The sequence below is a fragment of the Homo sapiens genome, chromosome 12 (assembly GCF_000001405.40).
Source record: "Homo sapiens chromosome 12, GRCh38.p14 Primary Assembly".
NCBI classification, from domain to species: domain Eukaryota; kingdom Metazoa; phylum Chordata; class Mammalia; order Primates; family Hominidae; genus Homo; species Homo sapiens.
Window position 1 is genome coordinate 82095352 of NC_000012.12, and position 19324 is coordinate 82114675.

A 19324-nucleotide genomic window follows, 5' to 3' on the forward strand; every position below is an offset into this window, starting at 1 on the left:
ATTTTTTAATTTCCACCTTGATTTCATTGTTGACCCAACGATCATTGAGGACCAGGTTATTTAACTTCCATGTATTCACATGGTTTTGAGAGTTCGTTTTGGAGTTGATTTCCAATTTTCTTCCACTGTGATCTGAGAGAGCAGTTGATGTAATTTTGATTTTCTTGAATTTATTGAGGCTTCTTTTGTGGCCTGTCATATGATCTGTCTAGAGAATGTTCCATGTGCTGATGAATAGAATGTATATTCTGCAGTTATTGGGTAGAATGTTCTGTAAATATCTGCTAAGTGCATTTGTTCTAAGGTATAGTTTAAGTCCATTGTTTCTTTGTTGACTTCTGTCTTGATGTCCTGTCTAGTGCTGTCAGTGGAGTATTGAGTGCCCCACTATTATTGTGTTGCTGTCTGGCTGATTTCTTAGGTCTAATAGTAATTGTTTTATAAATCTGGGAGCTCCATTGTTAGGTGCATATATGATATATTTAGGATAGTTATATTTTCCTGTTGGACAAGTCCTTTTATCATTATATAATGTCCCAGGTTTTTAACTACTTTTCCTTTAAAGTTTGTTTTGTCTGATGTAAGAATAACTACTCCTGCTCACTTCTGGTGTTGATTTGCATGGAATATCTTTTTCCACCCCTTTACCTTAAGTTTATGTTTGTCCTTGTGTGTCAGGTGAGTCTCTTGAAGACAGCAAATACTTGGTTGGTGAATTATCATCTGTTTCTCCATTCTCTATCTTTTAATTGGAGCATTTAGGCCATTTACATTCAACATTAGTATTAAGGTATGAGATACTATTCTATTCATCATGCTATTTGTTGCCTGAATAACTTGGGTGTTTTTTTTTTCATTGTGTTATTGGTTTATGGGTCCTGCAAGATTTATGCTTTAAGGAGGTTCTATTTTCATGTATTTTGAGGATTTGTTTCAAGATTTAGAGCTCCTGTTAGCAGTTCTTGTAGTGCTGGCTTGGTAGTGGCAAATTCTCTCAGCATTTGTTTGGCTGAAAAAGGCTGTATCTTTCCTTCATTTATGAAGCTTAGTTTCACTGGATACAAAATTCTTGGCTGATAATTGAGGAGACTAAAGATAGAGCTCATCCCTTTCTAGCTTGTAAGGTTTCCCCTGAAAAATCTGCTGTTAATCTGATAGGTTTTCCTTTATAGGTTACCTAATGCTTTTGCCTCAGAGCTCTTAATATTCTGGCCTTCATCTTGACTTTAGATAACCTGACTATGTGGCTAGGTGATTATCTTTTTGTGATTAATTTCCCTGGTGTTCTTTGTGCTTCCTGTATTTGGATGTCTAAATCTGTAGCAAGACCAGGGCAGTTTTCCTCAATTATTCCCTCAAACATTTTTCAAACTCTTAGATTTCTCTTCTTCCTTGGGAACACCAATTATTCTTAGGTTTGGTCATTTAACATAATCCCAAAATTCTTGGAGGCTCTGTTCATTTTGTTGGATTCTTTTTTCTTTTTCATTGTAGGTTTGGGTTAAGTAGAAAGCCCGGTCTTTGAGCTCTGAAGTTTTTCTGTTACTTGTTTGATTCTATTGCTGAGACTTTCCAGTGCATTTTGCATTTCTCTAAGTGTGCCCTTGATTTCCAGAAGTTGTGACTGTTTTTTATTTATGCTATGTTTTTCATTGGAGATTTTTCCATTTATATCCTGTATCTTTTTTTTAAATTTATTTAACTTGGATTTCATCTTTCTCTGGTGCCTCCTTGATTAGCTTAATAATCGACCTTCTGAACTCCTTTTCTAGCAATTCAAAGATTTTTATCTTGGTTTGGATCCCTTGCTGGTGAGCTAATGTGATCTTTTGGGGGTGTTAAAGAACCTTGTTTTGTCATATTACCATAATTGTTTTTCTGGTTCCTTCTCATTTAGGGGTGGACTATGTCAGAGGGAAAATCCGGGGCTCAAGTGCTGCTGTTCAGATTTTGTCCCACAAGGTGCTCCCTTTCGTCACGCTTTCCCTCTTCCCATAGGGATGGGGCTCCCTGAGAGCCAAAGTGCAGTGATTGTTTTTTCCCTTCTGGGTCTGGCTACCACGTGGAGCTACTGGGCTCTGGGCTGGTACAGGGGTGGTGGGCGGGGTGTCTGCAAAGAATCCTGTGATGTGACCCATCTTCAGGTCTCTCAGCTGTGGATGCCAGCATCTGCTCCAGTGGAGGTAGCAAGGGAGTGAAGTGGACTCTGTGAGGGTCCTTGGTTGAAGTTTTGTTTATTGTGCTCATTTTGTGTCTTATGGCCCCTGGCCAGGAGGTGGCACTTTCAAGAGATCTCCAGCTGTGGTAATCTAGGGAGGACACAATCTTGCCCTAAGGTTGCCTGGATAAGTATTGGGGTTTCTGAGGTGGTGGACAGGTCCATAGAGTTTCCAAGAGATTATGTCCTTTGTCTTGGGCTATCAGGGTGCTTAGAGGAAGACCTTGAGGAGGGGGCAGGGTTAGGCAGGTCTGAGCTCAGACTTTCCTTGGAGGGGCTCGCTGCAGCTGCTGTGGGGGATGGGAGTGTGATTCTCAGGCCAATGAAGTTATGATCCCAGGGGGACTATGGCTGCCTCTGTTGCTTTGTACAGGTCACCAGGGAAGTGGGGGAAAGCCTGCAGTGACAGGCCTCAACCAGCTCCCACACAGGCTGAAAGGCCAATCTCACTCCCACCATGCCCCCACCACCAGCACTGAGTTTATTTCCAGGCAGCTGGTGAGCAGGGCTCAGAACTTGCCCCAGGTTACAAGCCTCCCTGCTGAAAGAACAAGCAGGGCTCTCAGGTTTCCTGCTTCCCTCCCTGTCGTGGCTTCTGTGCTGGTGTCTGCACTCCTGGTTCACCCCCTCCCCCAGATTCTATCCAAGAAACTTCACATTTGGTGGAAATTGTCATGAAGTTCAGCTGAAAGTTTCCTTCTTGCTGTGATCTTTCCCCAATTCTATTGGCAGCCTTTCCAAGGACCCCTGTGAGACAAAGTCAGAGATGGCTTCCCTGGGGACCGAGAGTGCCCACCAAGCTCTTCCACTGCTTCCTCTATCCATGTATTTCACTCAGTACTCTAAATTCATCTCAGCTCCAGGTAAGGTCAAATCCTTCTCCCATGATCTGGACCTCCAGTTTCCCCAGTGAGGATGTGTGTTCAGGGGCAGATGATCCCCCTTTCACACTTTCACACTTTGGGCACTCATAGTTTTTCAGCTGTCTCCCAGAGCCAGCAACAGCAACCCACTTCCTGTAAAAGGTCTGTCAATTTTTTAAAAGAAAAAATAGAATACAAAGCTGGATAAGTAGAATGATGCTAAGTTTTTTTCAGTGGAAGTAGTGCCAGTGGTGGGTGTTGTGTGTTTGTTATATCAGAATATATAACGATTGCTATGGTTTATGTCCCCTCCAATATCAATGTTGAAACTTAATTCCCAATGCAACAGTATTAAAAGGTACAGCCTTTGGAAAATGATTAGATCATAAAGGCAGAGCCCTCATCAATGGATTAATGTTTTTATAAAACGGCTGGAGGAAACTAGCTAGGTACCCTTTTGCCCTTTCAACATTCTGCCTTGTGAGTACACAGCAACAAGGTATCATCTTGGAAGCACAGAGACTAGGCCTTTATCGGACATTGAACCTGCTGGCACCTTGACCTTGGACTTCCAGCCTTTGGAACTGTGAGAAAATCAATTTCTGTTTTTTATAAAAAATGCCAAGTCTCAGGTATTTTGTTATAGTGAAACAGACTATGGACAGATAGATGAGAGATCTGAAATTCACTAAAATTATGCACATGGTTTCTATGAATAGAAACATTATGTTTAAATTCTTATTTTTTAATTTATTTTTTATATTTTTAAAATTTTCAGCAATGAACATGTATCACATTTTATAATCAAGCAAAAACAATAAATGTTATTTTTGCAATTCCCTTCTGACACATTTTCATGATATCTCCCTCTAGTCATCAAGAAACAACTTGTTGCCAAATACCAGGAAATTAACAGCAATTATCACCAGCTGGCTAGATGGAGGTAGTAGTCACTGGACTGTAATCCACCCAGCATGAAATAGAAAACCTTGAAGGAATAAAGTGGATGATTAATCAAACTTGAAACATCAACTTCCTGGGATAGCATATATCAAGACAGATTACTCACTGAACATTAGACATCATTCCTGAGAATCCCATAATGATTTCAGCAGCATCAGCCCTTTAAAACAGACAGCTGAAGTCCACCTTAGAGATCAGGAGTTTTATTTATTCAAAATAACTTTTTAAATTCTAAATTCTAGCTGAAAATGAAATGTCTTATTGGCTAGGAAGTGACAATTACACACACACACACACATGCACATTTTTTGAGACAGAGTTTCCCTTTGTCACCCAGGCTTGAGTAAAGTGGCACAATCACAGCTCACTGTAGCCTCCACCTCCTGGTTTCAAGTGATCCTCCCACCTCAGCCTCCTGAAACAATAGGCACATCCCACAACACCTGGGTTGAAACCATAGGCGCTGAAACCATAGGCACATCCCACAACACCTGGCTAATTTTTTGTATTTTTTGTAAAGACAGGGTTTCGCCATCTTGGCCAGGCTGATCTCAAACCCTGAGTTCAAATGATCCACCTGCCTCAGCCTCCCAAAGTGCTGGAATCACACGCATGAATAACTGTGCCCAGCAAACAATATTTTTATATGATCTATTTTTTATTTAATCATAATTGGACTCAAGTAAACAAAGGACAGCACTTGGCTTTACAGTGTTATTGAACATATGATCCTTCTCTAAATGTCCTACAATCCAGGCAGATAAACCGATATGTATGTTAATTGACAATATGAGAGCATCTATGTTCATTTTGAGGTTTTAAGATGAGGTAAATTGCACCCCAACTCTTTTCTCAAATTCTGATCAATTAAAACACATATAAGATGTAAGGCAGGCAGAAAACCCAAATCAGGAAGAGCAGTTCTATTTGTGAGCAAGTAGGCCTCCCTTATACTGACTCAAAATTAGACAGACTTACCAACCTTGCTAAAGGTAGCCTTATATTGCCCCTTTCAGAAGCTGCCACTGAAAAACCAGTTGCAGTAGCATCAGCATCACCTGAGAATTTTTTAAAGATGCAAATTTATAGGCCTGCTCTAGACCTGCCAAATCAAATTTCTGTGCAAGGGGCCAAGCTATCTGTTTTAAGAATATCTCTAGGGATTTGGAATCACATTGAAGTTTAAAAATCACTACATTTTTAGAGGGGGAGAGGGAGAGGAGCTAAGGTATGCATGCATGTTTCTTTTTCCTCAGTTCATTCCATATTTATGAAGAGAAGTGAGTAAGGAGGGATAGGAGAGAGGGTAGGACGGATACACCATTGAAACTTCCTCTAGATAGAAGGAACTATCAAGAATGGAGCAGAAGCATCTACCTATAATCTTTTTCAGCTATTGGTTCTCTTAATCCATTGAGTTTAAACATTAAGCCTATGGTTAAATAGAGGCTTACCTGTCCCCTTTGATGTAAACTACAAAAGAATCATGGTAATTCTGCTCCCTCTTTCATGAGGCCATCCCTACCCCTTACCAGACTTTCCTTGTTTTAGCACCTTCCTGGGACCATTGGTGGACAGTGTAGACTTTGTGTCTTGAAGTTTTTAAAATGACTTTCAATACCAATTAGTTAAATTTGTTGAGAAAATTTTGAGAATTATGACTGGCCTTTCCAAAATGAAGTTTAGAACTGTTACTGATAATTATGAAGTGTACACGGCTACTTACAGAATGCTTTTAATGATGAGGAAAAGGATCTTTATACTTATCTCCAGAATTTTAAAAAACTTAACTCAGAGGATTTATCTAAAAGTCCCATAGCCTAACATACAAATCAAATTTCAAGGATCTGATTTCAGCTTGAAGAATTTTAGCTAATGAATTACTTGGCCAAGCAACTACTCTTCTTTTTTTTCTTTTAATTAAACCAAAGAAATTATCTATGGTACAAAATACTCTTAACAGTCCAATAATTCATGTGATGAGTGAAACTGTAAAACCTGCAGTTGTTTACATAACTGTATAAAACTGTGCCCTCTCCAAACTGAAGCCACAGAACCATCACAAGTTGTATCTGAGGATTTTCTCCTTATTTACAAGCTAATTATCATGGAGGATTGATCATTTCCTGTTCCACTAGGAATTAACTGCAAGGCCTTTCTGTCCCTAAAGCCAACAGTACACTCTCACTTGTTTCCTATTTCAAATTATGTCCACTCATGTTGTCCAACATAAACTATCTAAGATTCTGAAATAAGAGCAAAAGTCAAATTAGGATAGTCCAATAATAATATGCCAACAGGAGATTTCCAAATCTGGAATATATCTTCTCTAATTTTTATATTGCAAGGAAGAAATTAAAATACAAAGATTAAATCCTGTTACAAACAAAAGGCTTCAAAATCCAAATGAACATCTCAGATTCAACCATCAAGTGCTTTTTTTAAGCCTCAAGAAATAAAATTCTTCCCAAACATCTTATTATGCTGAGTCTTAGAGAGGATTCTTGTTGATTCTATGGAATTGGGTTTACTCCATAGCCACAGAATGGGGGTCTTCAAAGAAAATGAAAGAGCTTCCCTAGGACCTCAGAACCATATCTCTCAAAGGAACCACTTAAAAATTTCCAAAGAAATAACAAGGAAATCCTGCAGTGTGGCTGATAGATATCCGACAGGCTCTCCACTAAAAAAACACAAACGCTTCTGGATAAAACACTTTTTAGTACATTTTTAAATTTATAGGAATGAGGAGAAATCTCCAAGACACCATTCCTCTGTCGAAATAAAACCAACTCATGAGCTGAAACCTGAAGAGGGAGTGGTTAATGGTAAGCAATGGTGAAAGGTGGGATTGTCTATATAATTGCCCGACCAGAATAATTTTGGATCTCTGACGAGATGAGGGAGCTGAAATTGAGATTTCTTCATTAAGTCTGGAATCTGGTTCCAGCAGAACAAAATGCAATTTCCCTTTCTCCTAAGGCGAGTATCTTCAATTCTGATTATTAAAGTCAATCAAACATGGATTTCAGTTCATGGCGGATGGGAGGCAGGCCTATATTGCAGCTCTGACTGGAACGGACAGAGCAGCGTGCGAAGGCTCGCATCCTGAATTTTAGCTCCCGATCCACTGCAAAAACAAACCAGGAATGCCCAGAGGACTCACAGACCCTCTGAAGGAAGTGGACTGCTCCTGCAGGACCCGGGAGACGCCCCAAATACTGTGATTGCCCCAACTACAGAAGTGGGAAAAGAAGATCCTACTCTCCCAAACATACATCCCCACTGGAGAAACTGAAGGTCTGTTTGCCGGAGAAGTTTCCGACCTTACCTGGAGCTGAGTCAATTTATAGAGCGGAGTGAAATACAGGGTAGAGGAAGCAGCAAGAAAGGCCCTTGGAGCTTGCTGGGTCCCCAAGCCAATCATTCCTGCCTGGTACCACAGGGATCCATCGGTAGTGTGGCCAGAGGAGCAGAGGGTAAAACACTTCAGGGAGAGGGAATTCTCTAGCTGACCTTTGTAACAATTTGAACCGGGCGAGAAGCCTCCTGGCAAGAACTCAGGGGAGGGCCACGAATCCGAATCCGGTGTGCAGACTCCACAGGTGGGGGAAGAACAAAGCCCTTTTCTTTCACAGCTGGGAGGTGGGTAGCCAGGCTCGTCCACCACCTGGAAACAGACTTGGGGCTTTTGTGGGGGGCACGGTGGGAGTGAGACCAGCCCTTCAATTTGCGTGGAAGCTGGGTGAGGCCTGTGACTGCTGGCTTTCCCCCACATCCCTGACATCCTACATGACTCAGCACAGGCAGCCATAATCCTCCTAGGTACACAACTCCAATGACCTGGGAACCTCACTGTCATCCCCCACAGCACATGCAGCAAGACCCACCCAAGGAGATTCTGAGCTTGGAAAAGCCTAGTCCTGACTCCACCTGATGGGCCTTCCCTATCCACCCTAGTAGCTGAAGACAAAAGGCATATAATCTTGGGAGTTCTAGGGCCACGTCCACAGCCAGTTCCTCTCCATACTACAACAGCTAATGCTATCTGGAAACTGCTACCTCCTGGCAGGAGGCCAAACAGCCCAAAAATAGGACATTAAACCACCAAAGCTAAGAACCCTCACAGAGTTCATTACATCCACCCTGCCACCTCCATCATAGACAACACAAACAAATAGAAATACATCCCATGCTCATGGATGGGTAGAATCAATATTGTGAAAAATGACCATACTGCCAAAAGCAATCTATATGCAATTCCCATCAAAATACCGCCATCATTCTTCACAGAAATAGAAAAAACAATTCTAAAATTCATATAAAACCAAAAAAGAGCCTGCATAGCCAAAGCAAGACTAAGCAAAAAGAACAAATCTGGAAGCATCACACTACCTGATTTCAAACTATTACTATAAGGCCATATTCACCAAAACAGCATGGTACTGGTATAAAAATAGGCACATAGACCAATGGAACAGAATAGAGAACCCAGAAATGAACCCAAATACTTACAGCCAAATGATCTTCAATAGAGCAAACAAAAACATAAAGTGGAGAAGGGATACCCTTTTCAACAAATGGTGCTGGGATATTTGGCTAGTCACATGCAGGAGAATGAAAGTGGATCCTCTTCTCTCACCTTATATAAAAATCAACTCAAGATGGATTAAGGACTTAAATGTAAGACCTGAAACCATAAAAATTCTAGAAGATACAACTGGAAAAAACCCTTGTAGACATTGGCTTAGGCTAAGATTTCATGATCAAGAACCCAAAAGCAAATGCAATAAAAACAACAATAAATAGTTGGGACTTAATTAAACTAAAGAGGTTTTGCACAGCAAAAGGAACAGTAAGCAGAGTAAACAGACAACACACAGAGTGGGAGAAAATCTTCATAATCTATACATCTGACAAAGGAATAATATCCAGAGTCTACAATGAACTCAAACAGATCAGTAAGAAAAAAAAAAAGCAATGCCATCAAAAAGTGGGCTAAGGAAATGAATAGACAATTCTCAAAAGAACATACACAAATGGCCAACAATCATGTGAAAAAGTGCTCAACATCGCTAATGATCAGGGAAATGCAAATCAAAAGCACAATGTGATACTACCTTACTCCTGCAAGAATGGCCATAATCAAAAAATAAAAATAAAAATAAAAATTAGAAAAAAACAGTAGATGTTGGTGTGGAACATTTCTACACTGCTGGTGGGAATGTAAGCTTGTACAGCCACTGTGGAAAACAGTGTGGAGCTTCCTTAAATAACTAAAAGTAGAACTACCTACCATTTGATCTATCAATTCCACTACTGGGAATCTACCCAGAAGACATGAAGTCATTATACGAAAAAGATACTTGCACACACATGTTTATAGTAGCCCAATTCGCAATTGCAAAATCGTGGAACCAACACAAATACCCATCAATCAACGAGTAGATAAAGAAACTGTGATATATATATATATATATATATATATATGTATATGCACACACACATATATATACACATATATATACACACATATATATACACACATATATATATTCCATCATATATATATTCCATCTCATATATATATTCCATCATATATATATTCCATCATATATATATTCCATCTCATATATATATATTCCATCATATAAATATTCCATCATATAAATATTCCATCATATAAATATTCCATCTCATATATATATATTCCATCATATATATATATTCCATCATATATATATAGTCCATCATATATATATTCCATCATATATATATAGTCCATCATATATATATTCCATCATATATATATATTCCATCATATATATATATTCCATCATATATATATATTCCATCATATATATATATTCCATCATATATATATATATATTCCATCATATATATATATATATATTCCATCATATATATATATATATTCCATCATATATATGCTGGAATACTACTCAGCCATAAAAAGGAATGAATTAATGGCATTTGCAGCAATCTGGATGAGATTGGAGACTATTATTCTAAGTGAAGTAACTCAGGAATGGAAAAGCAAACATCGTATGTTCTCGCTGATATGTGGGGGAAAAGCTATGAGGATGCAAAGGCATAAGAATGATACAATGGACTTTGGGGACTTGGAAGAAGTGTGGGAGGGGGGCGAGGGATAAAAGACTATGGTGTATACTGCTTGGGTAATGGGTGCACCAAAATCTCACAGATCACCACCAAAGAACTTACTCATGTAACCTATGGAAAATTTTAAAAAAGAAATAAAAATAAAAATAAAATCAATCAAATATGAGTTTATAATCAAAGATGACCAAATTCAGAAGAAATCAGCAGGAATAACAACAAAAGAACAACAAAAACATAATTAGACCTACTAAAACATTCTGTTTTGGTTTTGTTTTGTATTATTTTGTTTTTCAAATACAGATTTATTTTATCAATTGTTCCATAACAAACTGCCCAACAATTTTGTGGATTAAAATCAACCATTTTATTTTGTTCACAACTTTTGTGGTTCATGAGTTTGGGAAAGTCTCATATCAGTGGGACTGCTGGGGCTAAAGAAGCTATTTCCAAAATGTGTTTTTTATTTATATGGCTGGTGCCTCAATGCTCCTTGACTTCTCTTTCTCTATACGTTTCATCCTCAAAGGCCTCGCCACTCAACTTGGGCTTCTCAGAGCATTGTGGTTTCAGGGTAATCACACTTCTCTTATGACAGTTGGCTTCCAAGTAAGGTTTCCATGTTCAGCAAATGACAATACAGAACTCCCTCTTAAATTTGAATTTAAGAAAAACAAAAAAAAATATTTTTAGCATAAAGTGTTTCAAATATTACCCAGGACATTTACACTGAAAAAATATTAGCAACCCTACTTCAAAAAGAAAGCAAGCCGAAGTCTACTGGTATAGTTAAGGGCCTTGTTTGGAATTGAAATAGTGTCTTTTCCACCATATAATATTGGTCAAACAATCACAGTGTCGGCCCAGATTTAAGGGATGGAGAGATAGACTCACTTCTGCAGGAAGTGGCAAGGTCACATTGCAAAAGGGCACATGGGATGGGATATATTGTGGTGGCCATCTTTGGAAAATATAGTCCACAAGAATAAATAGAAATATGCAAGAAAATATTAAGAAAATAAAATATAGAATCACAAAAATCAATAAGGTGATACTACTAAAAAGAGCTAGATCTTTCAAAACTAAAAATTATAATAATTAAATTTTTTAAAATCTTGAATGGTTAGACTGAACAGCAGATTAAACACAGCTAAGTAGTTATTAAACTACTTAGTTTAATCTGTGAACAGCAGATTAAACACAGCTTGTGTTATTGCCCCAAAATATTTACTCCCACTTCTTGTAAGTGAATTATTCATCTCATTATTGCCATAAAATGTGTGGTGCCTCCAGTGAAGGAATATACAGATCTGTGCCATTGATGTTGGGTTTGGTATATCACTTCCTTTGGCCAACAGCATGTGAGCAAATGTGAAATTCACTGTGTCCAGGCAACAGGTTTAACAGCCATTGTTTATTTCTTGCCAGCTCTCCTTCTCTTTTCCCTCTGCTATGAGAATATTGTGTTCTGAGTAAGCAAAGATTCTTCAGCCTGGATCCTACACTGAAAAAGAAAATGTAGAACAGAGCCACAAGTGATCTGAAGTGACCAGCAGCTTTCAAAAAAAAAAGAGAGAGAGAGCAAGAAATGATATTTTTAAGCCACTAAGATGGTGGGGGAGTTTGATACAGCACAGACACCTTGTCTGACATATCACTCATCATTTATAAATAGGAAGGATAAGCATATTTCCTCAAAGTATGATAGTCATATAATGCCAAAATTTGCCTTCTAATGTGGGAACTCTCCTTATTGGAGAATAGATTCACAGTAATAAATTTCAAACCACTGGTATAAACTAACTAACATCTTAATGAGACTAAACCATAGAAGCTTCTCTATTCTACTCTCCTTCACCCAAATAACTGACTGCTTCTCAATGATTTTGACAATATATAATTTTACCTGGAATAAATTTTGTTTAATGGGGAATAGCCACTTTTCTAATTTCAATGGGCTTGAAAGCAGAGCTATACTTATGTATGTTCTACAAGATACTTGGACATTTGAAAAGTAGTCACATTAAAGAGTCAGCATTCAATTTACTCAACTTCTGAGGTTCCCCTGGGTGCAGCTGCTGAAGAAATCCCAAATTACACTAAACACAAGAAATCCCACTAGGGATAGAGAAAAAGAGAAGGATAAACTTCAGACTTTAATTTCTTTGAAACTTAACAACCAGGTACAAGAGCGTTTGATATTAGATTACAATTTCTTTGTATTTTTATATTTAGTACTTTAACTTGTAAGAGGATTTAATTCCATTGAATGTCAATTTCTCCTCAATAATTGATCATGTGAGAGGAGTTTATGTTGAAATTGGGATATATTTATACTGACAGTTTATTATTTGCATATTTTAGTGTTGTCATCTGATGTCATGAACTACAGATAGGTTATGTGAAACAACATGGCTGTAAACAACCTAAGAAGGTAAAGAGATATGGTAATGAATTTTCAGTGTTTGTACAAATATGATCTAAGTGTTAATTTAATACTGGACTTTTTTTGCCCAATTTCAGAGACTTCTGGCAACAAAATTATACTGTCTATTGGTGGTTCCAGAAAAATGCCCCAAGAAACAATGGATTTATATTGGGGAAGTGGCCTCATGAAGGTAGAAGCATGACTGTCTTGGTAGGCTGCTTCTGTTTTCCTCGAAGGGGTACAACCACAACAGTAGTAATCTATGGGTATATTAGTTAAACTCAGTTGACTGTAAGAACAAGAAAAGCTAAAATGTTAAGAGGATTGGACTCTGCTTCACACTCTTGATGTTTATACATCACAGGAGCTCCAATATCATTGCATCTCTTCATTCACTCCACCCCCACAGATGATCTATGAATTTGTGAAAAGTGATTGGGCACATTTAGCCCAGCTATTTGCTCTTTTTTCTTTGCAGACAACGTGTTCCACTCTGCTGTTCTATTCTATAAATTGTATGTAGGAGATTCCGCCTCTACCAAATAACTAGGTAGGAATGTGTTTTAGTTATGTTGAGTTAGGCAACAATGAGGTAACAAAATCTCAGTGGTTTCACATAGCAAAGTCTGTTTTGGATCAGCAGCTCTCCAGGGCTACTGAATTCTCAGCAATACTCAGAGATCCAGTAGTCTTATACCTTGTCATTGTACCTTTTAAACAGGTGGCTTTCTGTTAACTATTTGGAAAGACAACCTGAGATTTGAAAGATAAATGATATTTAGAATTTTAAATAGTGTGATAAACATTTTTACTGTGTCTGTTCTATTTACTGTATCTGTATTTGCTGTATCAGCAAATAATTTTTCTGCAACTATACCTTCTTAATGAAACAAAGACATGAGAGATATGGAAACATTAATGAGTTAATCCAGAGGTTGTGAGACTCTTTAAAGTTAGGTCCTCAAATGTAAGTTTCCTGGATTCTGTGTAATACAAAACCATTATTTTTCACGATGGCTTAGAAACATTATGTTGAATAAGTGGGAGATCTATGCAAATACAGACGTATTTCACTGGACAATGTGAAAATGAACAGACCTTGAATGAAATTTGATACGCCATTGTTTACTAACAACATTCTAAAATACTCAATCTGATCCATTGTAAGGTTTATTCCTTACATGTACCTTCCTTAGAATATGATAGTGGAAGGCCATATATATATATATATATATATATATATATATATATATATATATATATAAAAGTTTCACTTGGAAGTATGCAAAGAAAATAGAAGTTAGTTAGTTATTTTGAATGTCATGTTCTGCATTCACTGCCATAATAATAATCATTCTAGTAGGTTTTCCATAAAACTTGGTAAATGCCGAAGTTTTTTTTTTTTTTTTTTAAACTGGTATCAGATCATCATCTCACTTCATTTGGCTGCTGTGAGTGTGTTAAGTATGCCAAGTATTTTTAATCACAAGTCCAAGCCTGCAAGATTTCAAACTTGGTATTCATTTGTCTTTATAAACATTAATCTGGTATTTACAGGGAAAAAAATCAATGACTTTTTTCTGCAATGATTGATTCTCTTCTAAATAAGAAGCTATAAAGTACTAAAATTCAATTAATAACATTAAGCTTCAATATGTATATTATACAATAAGTGAATTCCTTGATTAAATATTTATTACATAGCGATTTTCTTTATAATAAGCAGAAATATGTTCAAAAAGCAACACAAATTTTGTTGTATAAGCAGATAATTTTTAGGGTGATTTTCTTCCTACCTATTATTTGTATTAAGGTTAAATATATACAACATGTACTACTGTTTCACAGGATGGACTCAATATTACATTCACAAAGAACCAATTACCTCAGATCCGAATCTGTGTCTGTATTAGTCCATGTTCAAATCTTTTAAATCTATATTAAAACGATTATTTTTCTAACTTCTTCATTAGAGAAAGCCTTTATATTGGTAAAATAGCAAGTGACAGAAAACCAATTCAAACTGGAGTAAATAAAATAAAGGATGAAGAAAGGAAGAGAGGGAAAAAGTAAGGCAGGGAGGGAGGCAGAGAGGGAGGCAAAGAAAGAGAGAGAGGAGAGAAGAAGGAAGGGAGAGAGAGCACTACTTGGCCAATAATTACGTTGTCTAGGAGTAGATTTTTGCCCTTCAGGCATAGTTGGTGTATGTGTCCTAATTTCTGTTTTTCCAGAGAAAGAGAACAAGTAGGCACACACACACACACACACACATATGTTTATGAAAAATAAGAATTGACTGATGCAATTATGGGAGCTGACGAATTCAGGAAAGCTGGTGGTGTAATTCAGTCTGAGTACAAATGCATAGAGGTGGTAGGGCATTGTTGTAAGCATTGGTCCAAGCCCAAAGGTGAAAAATCAGGAGCGCCAATGTCTAAGGGCAGGAGAAGGTGAATGCTCCATCTCAAACAGAGAGAACACATTTTCCCTTCCTCTGCCTTTTTTTTGTTCTATGCAGGCCCCCAAAGGATTGGATAGTGCTTACCCGCATCGGTGAGGATGATCTTTTTCACTCACCGTACAGATTCAAATGTTAATCTCTTTGGAATCATCCTCACAGACACACCCAGAAATAATATTTTACCAACTATCTGGGCAACCCAGTCCAGTTGGCACATAAAATTAACCATCACAGTTTAATTCAGATGTTCAGATATCAGGTTGGTCTGTCTCTCTGTCTGTCTCTCTCTCTCTCTCTCCTCCCCTCATTGCTATTGCTGTCTATCTAACTAGCTAGCTATTGATCTATATTTCTCTATCATCTTGGCACTACTTGCAAGATAAACAATGGTGACACAATACCTACTTTATCTTTAAAACTTGAATCTCAATTTAAGAAAAATAAAGTCAAGAAATAAGTCCACAGGAAGTTCTGATTGGCTCATCTTAGATCATATGTCCAAACAAATCTATGACTGCAACATGAAACTTGGGATCCTCTGATTGGCCAGAGTCAGTATCACTCATTCCTGTTACTAGGTTTAACAGAAAAGTGGGAGTGAAGGAAACATGTCTTAAAAGAGAAAAAAATAAGTAACATTAACATTTACTTAATGTCGGACATATTTCTTAGTATAATCTCAAGTATTAAATAATACAATAAGCCCAATACATAAGTACTATTTTGTTTCACTTTTATAGATGAGGAAATCAAGGGATAGAGTAATGAGGACCAAAGCCAAGACATAATTCATGTGATGTGACCTTATTATACTGCCATTTAATAAATGTGGTAGACAGATAAAAATATTTTTTTACATAGCTTTCCACAAACTACTTTGTCCAAAAATAATAAGATTCCTGTAAAATCTAAAACACTAAGCCGAGTATGGTGGCTCATGCCTGTAATCCCAGCATTTTGGGAGGCTGAGGTGGGTGGCTCACCTGAGGTCAGGAGTTCAAGACCAGCCTGACCAATATGGTGAAACCCTATCTGTACTAAAAATACAAAAATTAGCAGGGCATGGTGGCATGTGCCTGTAATCCTAGCTACTCCAGAGGCTGAGACAGGAGAATTGCTTGAACCCAGGAGGCAGAGGTTGCAGTGAGCCGTGATTATGCCACTGCAGTCCAGCCTGGGTGACAGAGACTCTGTCTCAACACTGCACTCCAGCCTGGGTGACAGAGACTCTGTCTCAAAAAAGTGAAAAAATAAAAATATAAAACTCTAGAACTTAGATCTCCTACTATTGTCACCTATATTTCTTCTCTCCAAGGTATTGCATGTATTAACTTCATACTTTTCCAATATATCCATAAGATAAAATATTTTACTCTCCTGATTTTAATCATAAAAATTACATGGGGAAAAAAACTCACAAAACCTTTATGATGACTTTGACGGGTTCAGTACTTCAGTGGAGGAAGTACCTACAGAAATGGTGGAAATAGCAAGAGAGCTAGAATTAGAAATGGAGGTTGAAGATGTGACTGAATTGCTGCAATCTCATGATAAAACTGTAATGGTTTCTTATATGGTACAGACGCTCTTTAGTTTATTTAGGTCGCATCTGTCAGTTTTTGTTTTTGCTGCAATTGCTTTCAGCTATCACCATGGAATACTACACAGTCATAAAAAGAACAAAATCACATCCTTTGCAGCAAGATGGTTGGAGCTGGAGGCCATATCCTAAGCAAATTAAAACAGGAAAAGAAAACCAAATATCACATGTTCTCACTTGCAAGTGGGAGCTAAAAATCAAGAAAATGTGGAAAAAAAAGAAAAGAACAACAGATGCCAGGGCCTACTGGAGGGTGAAGCGCGGGACGAGGGTGAGGATAAAAAATTACCTATCAAGTACTAGGCTTATTACCCGGGTGATGAAATAATCTGTACACTAAATGCCCGTGGTATGCAATTTACCTATATAACAAACCTGGACATGTACCCCTGAACCTAAAATAAAAGTTAAAAAAAAAAAAAAAACTTGAATGGATGAGGAGTTGCCTCTTATGGATGAGCAAAGCAAGTGGAGTCTTGAGATTCAATCTCCTGGTGAAGTTGCTATGCAATGCTGAAATGTCAACCATGCATTTAGAATATTACATAAATTCAGTTTATAAAGCAGAGTCAGGATTTGAAAAGATCAACTCCAACTTTAAAAGTTCTACTGTAAATAAAATGCTGTAAAACAGCATTGCATGGCTACCGAGGACTCTTTCGTGAATGGAAGAGTCAATTGATGTGGCAAACTTCATTGTATTATTTTAAGAAATTACCACAACCACCCCAACCTTCAGCCAGCACCACCCTGCTCAGTCGGCAGCCAGTAACATGGAGGCAAGACTCTCCACTAGCAAAAGGGTTGCAACACGATGAAGGTTCAGGTGATTGTTAGCATTTTTTTTTTTAGCAATAGTGTATTTTTAAACTAAGGTATGTACACTTTTTAGACATTTCCTATCACACACTTAATGAACTACAGTACACAGTGTAAACATAACTTTTACGTGTACTGGAAAACCAAAAACTTTGGTTTTTTATGCTTTGTTTTGTTCAGGTGGTCTGGAACCAAACCGAAAACATCTCTTTGGTATGCTTGTATTTACATATATATATATATATATATATATATATATATATATATATATATATATACACACACACACACACACACACACACACACACTAAATACATGTACACATATTTATATATTTTATATACATATCAATTTTTCCATAAAATAAATATAACTGATAGATATGTTATAAATATATGTATGCATATGTAATACTAGTAACAATAGTTAACGTTTATTTAATGCTTACCCAATGCCCTAGGTTCTATTTTAAGCTAGTTACATGCATAATTTCATTAACTTTCCCAATAACTTTGTAAGTTATATAGTATTATTATATCAATACCACATACTAAGTAATTGCTTACATTCACATAGCTCATATGTAGTGAAACCAGGATTTGAACTTAACAAAAGAGAGAAAACAGGTAAGTTTAACAAACAATGGTCAAAAGAAAAAAAAAAAAAACAGAAAAAAATTGGTGTAAATAAGCTATTCACCATCAAAATATATATTTAAAATTTTTTAAAAATTGCAAAATGAGACATAAGGAAAAGATTTTTATATGTGTTCTTAAGAATCAGCCATAGATGTCACCTTGTAATTAATTCATAATGGTAAACTCGGTGGTTAGATCTAATAACTGTTGTGTTTCCCATTTCAGCACAAATGCAAGTGTTGAATATTAAATCAAAGGAAAACATTATCCGGCTAAATACCATGCCTTCTATTTTTAGCATGTAAACAGATTTCTTCTGCATAATGTTAAAATGAACACAAGTTTCTTGCTTCTCTTATTTGAAGAACATAATTTTAGACAGTCTGATTTCCTTTTTTACCATTGTATGAAAAAATAAATTAATTGTTTGAAAAGCTCCTCTTCAGTGGAGTTCTCAAAATACATAAACACACGCATACACACACATTGCCATTATGAAGGAGTGTATAATATTGAAAATCTATTTGCATTTATATTATAGGGAAAGGCTAACAATAAAATAAAGTATATCATTCATGAAAATTTCTAAAACACTGATGATGTAGATAGCACTCAAGTAGTTATACAAGTAGTAAAATCCATTGGTTAGTTATTTAAGTATGCTACACACATTTTATGAGGCTTAATGATATGAAATACGCTTAAAATTTGAATTTACATGTATTACTTAGCAATTGATTTCTTAAAATGTTAAGAAAATCAAAGAAAGATTTAAAGAACACCAATATTTATTTTAAACTAAAAATGGACAGATTTTCAAACAATTTGTTACCATGAAACAGTATATCAGCTAGAATTAATTTTACTGTGTATGTTAGAAAATTCAAAATAAAAGTGCCTTTTTAAAAGACACAGAGAGCACACTAACCATAAAGGAAAATTGGTAAATTGAACACTAACAACATTTTAAAACTTCTGCTTATTAAAATCCATTAAGAGAATAAGCAGAGGAATTACAGACTGGGGGAAAATTTTTTAATACCTTTATTTGACATATTACTCACATCCAGAATATAGATATATATTTTTTGACCATTTAAAAATTGAATTGTCTGTCTTTAAAAAATATTAAGAACAAAATTCTAATTTTTTAAATGGGCAAAAAATATGAGCAGACACTTCAGACAAGAAC

General features: G+C 36.7%; 1 annotated feature.

The window, feature by feature from the left end:
* Positions 6833-8032: an enhancer, noted in NCBI's record as "CDK7 strongly-dependent group 2 enhancer chr12:82495963-82497162 (GRCh37/hg19 assembly coordinates)". NCBI's record gives its function as "activates an origin of replication core promoter dependent on BRD2, BRD4, P300/CBP, MED14 and CDK7 cofactors, with strong dependence on CDK7, by STARR-seq in HCT116 cells {active_cell/tissue: HCT116}" and the evidence as "EXISTENCE:reporter gene assay evidence [ECO:0000049][PMID:35650434]".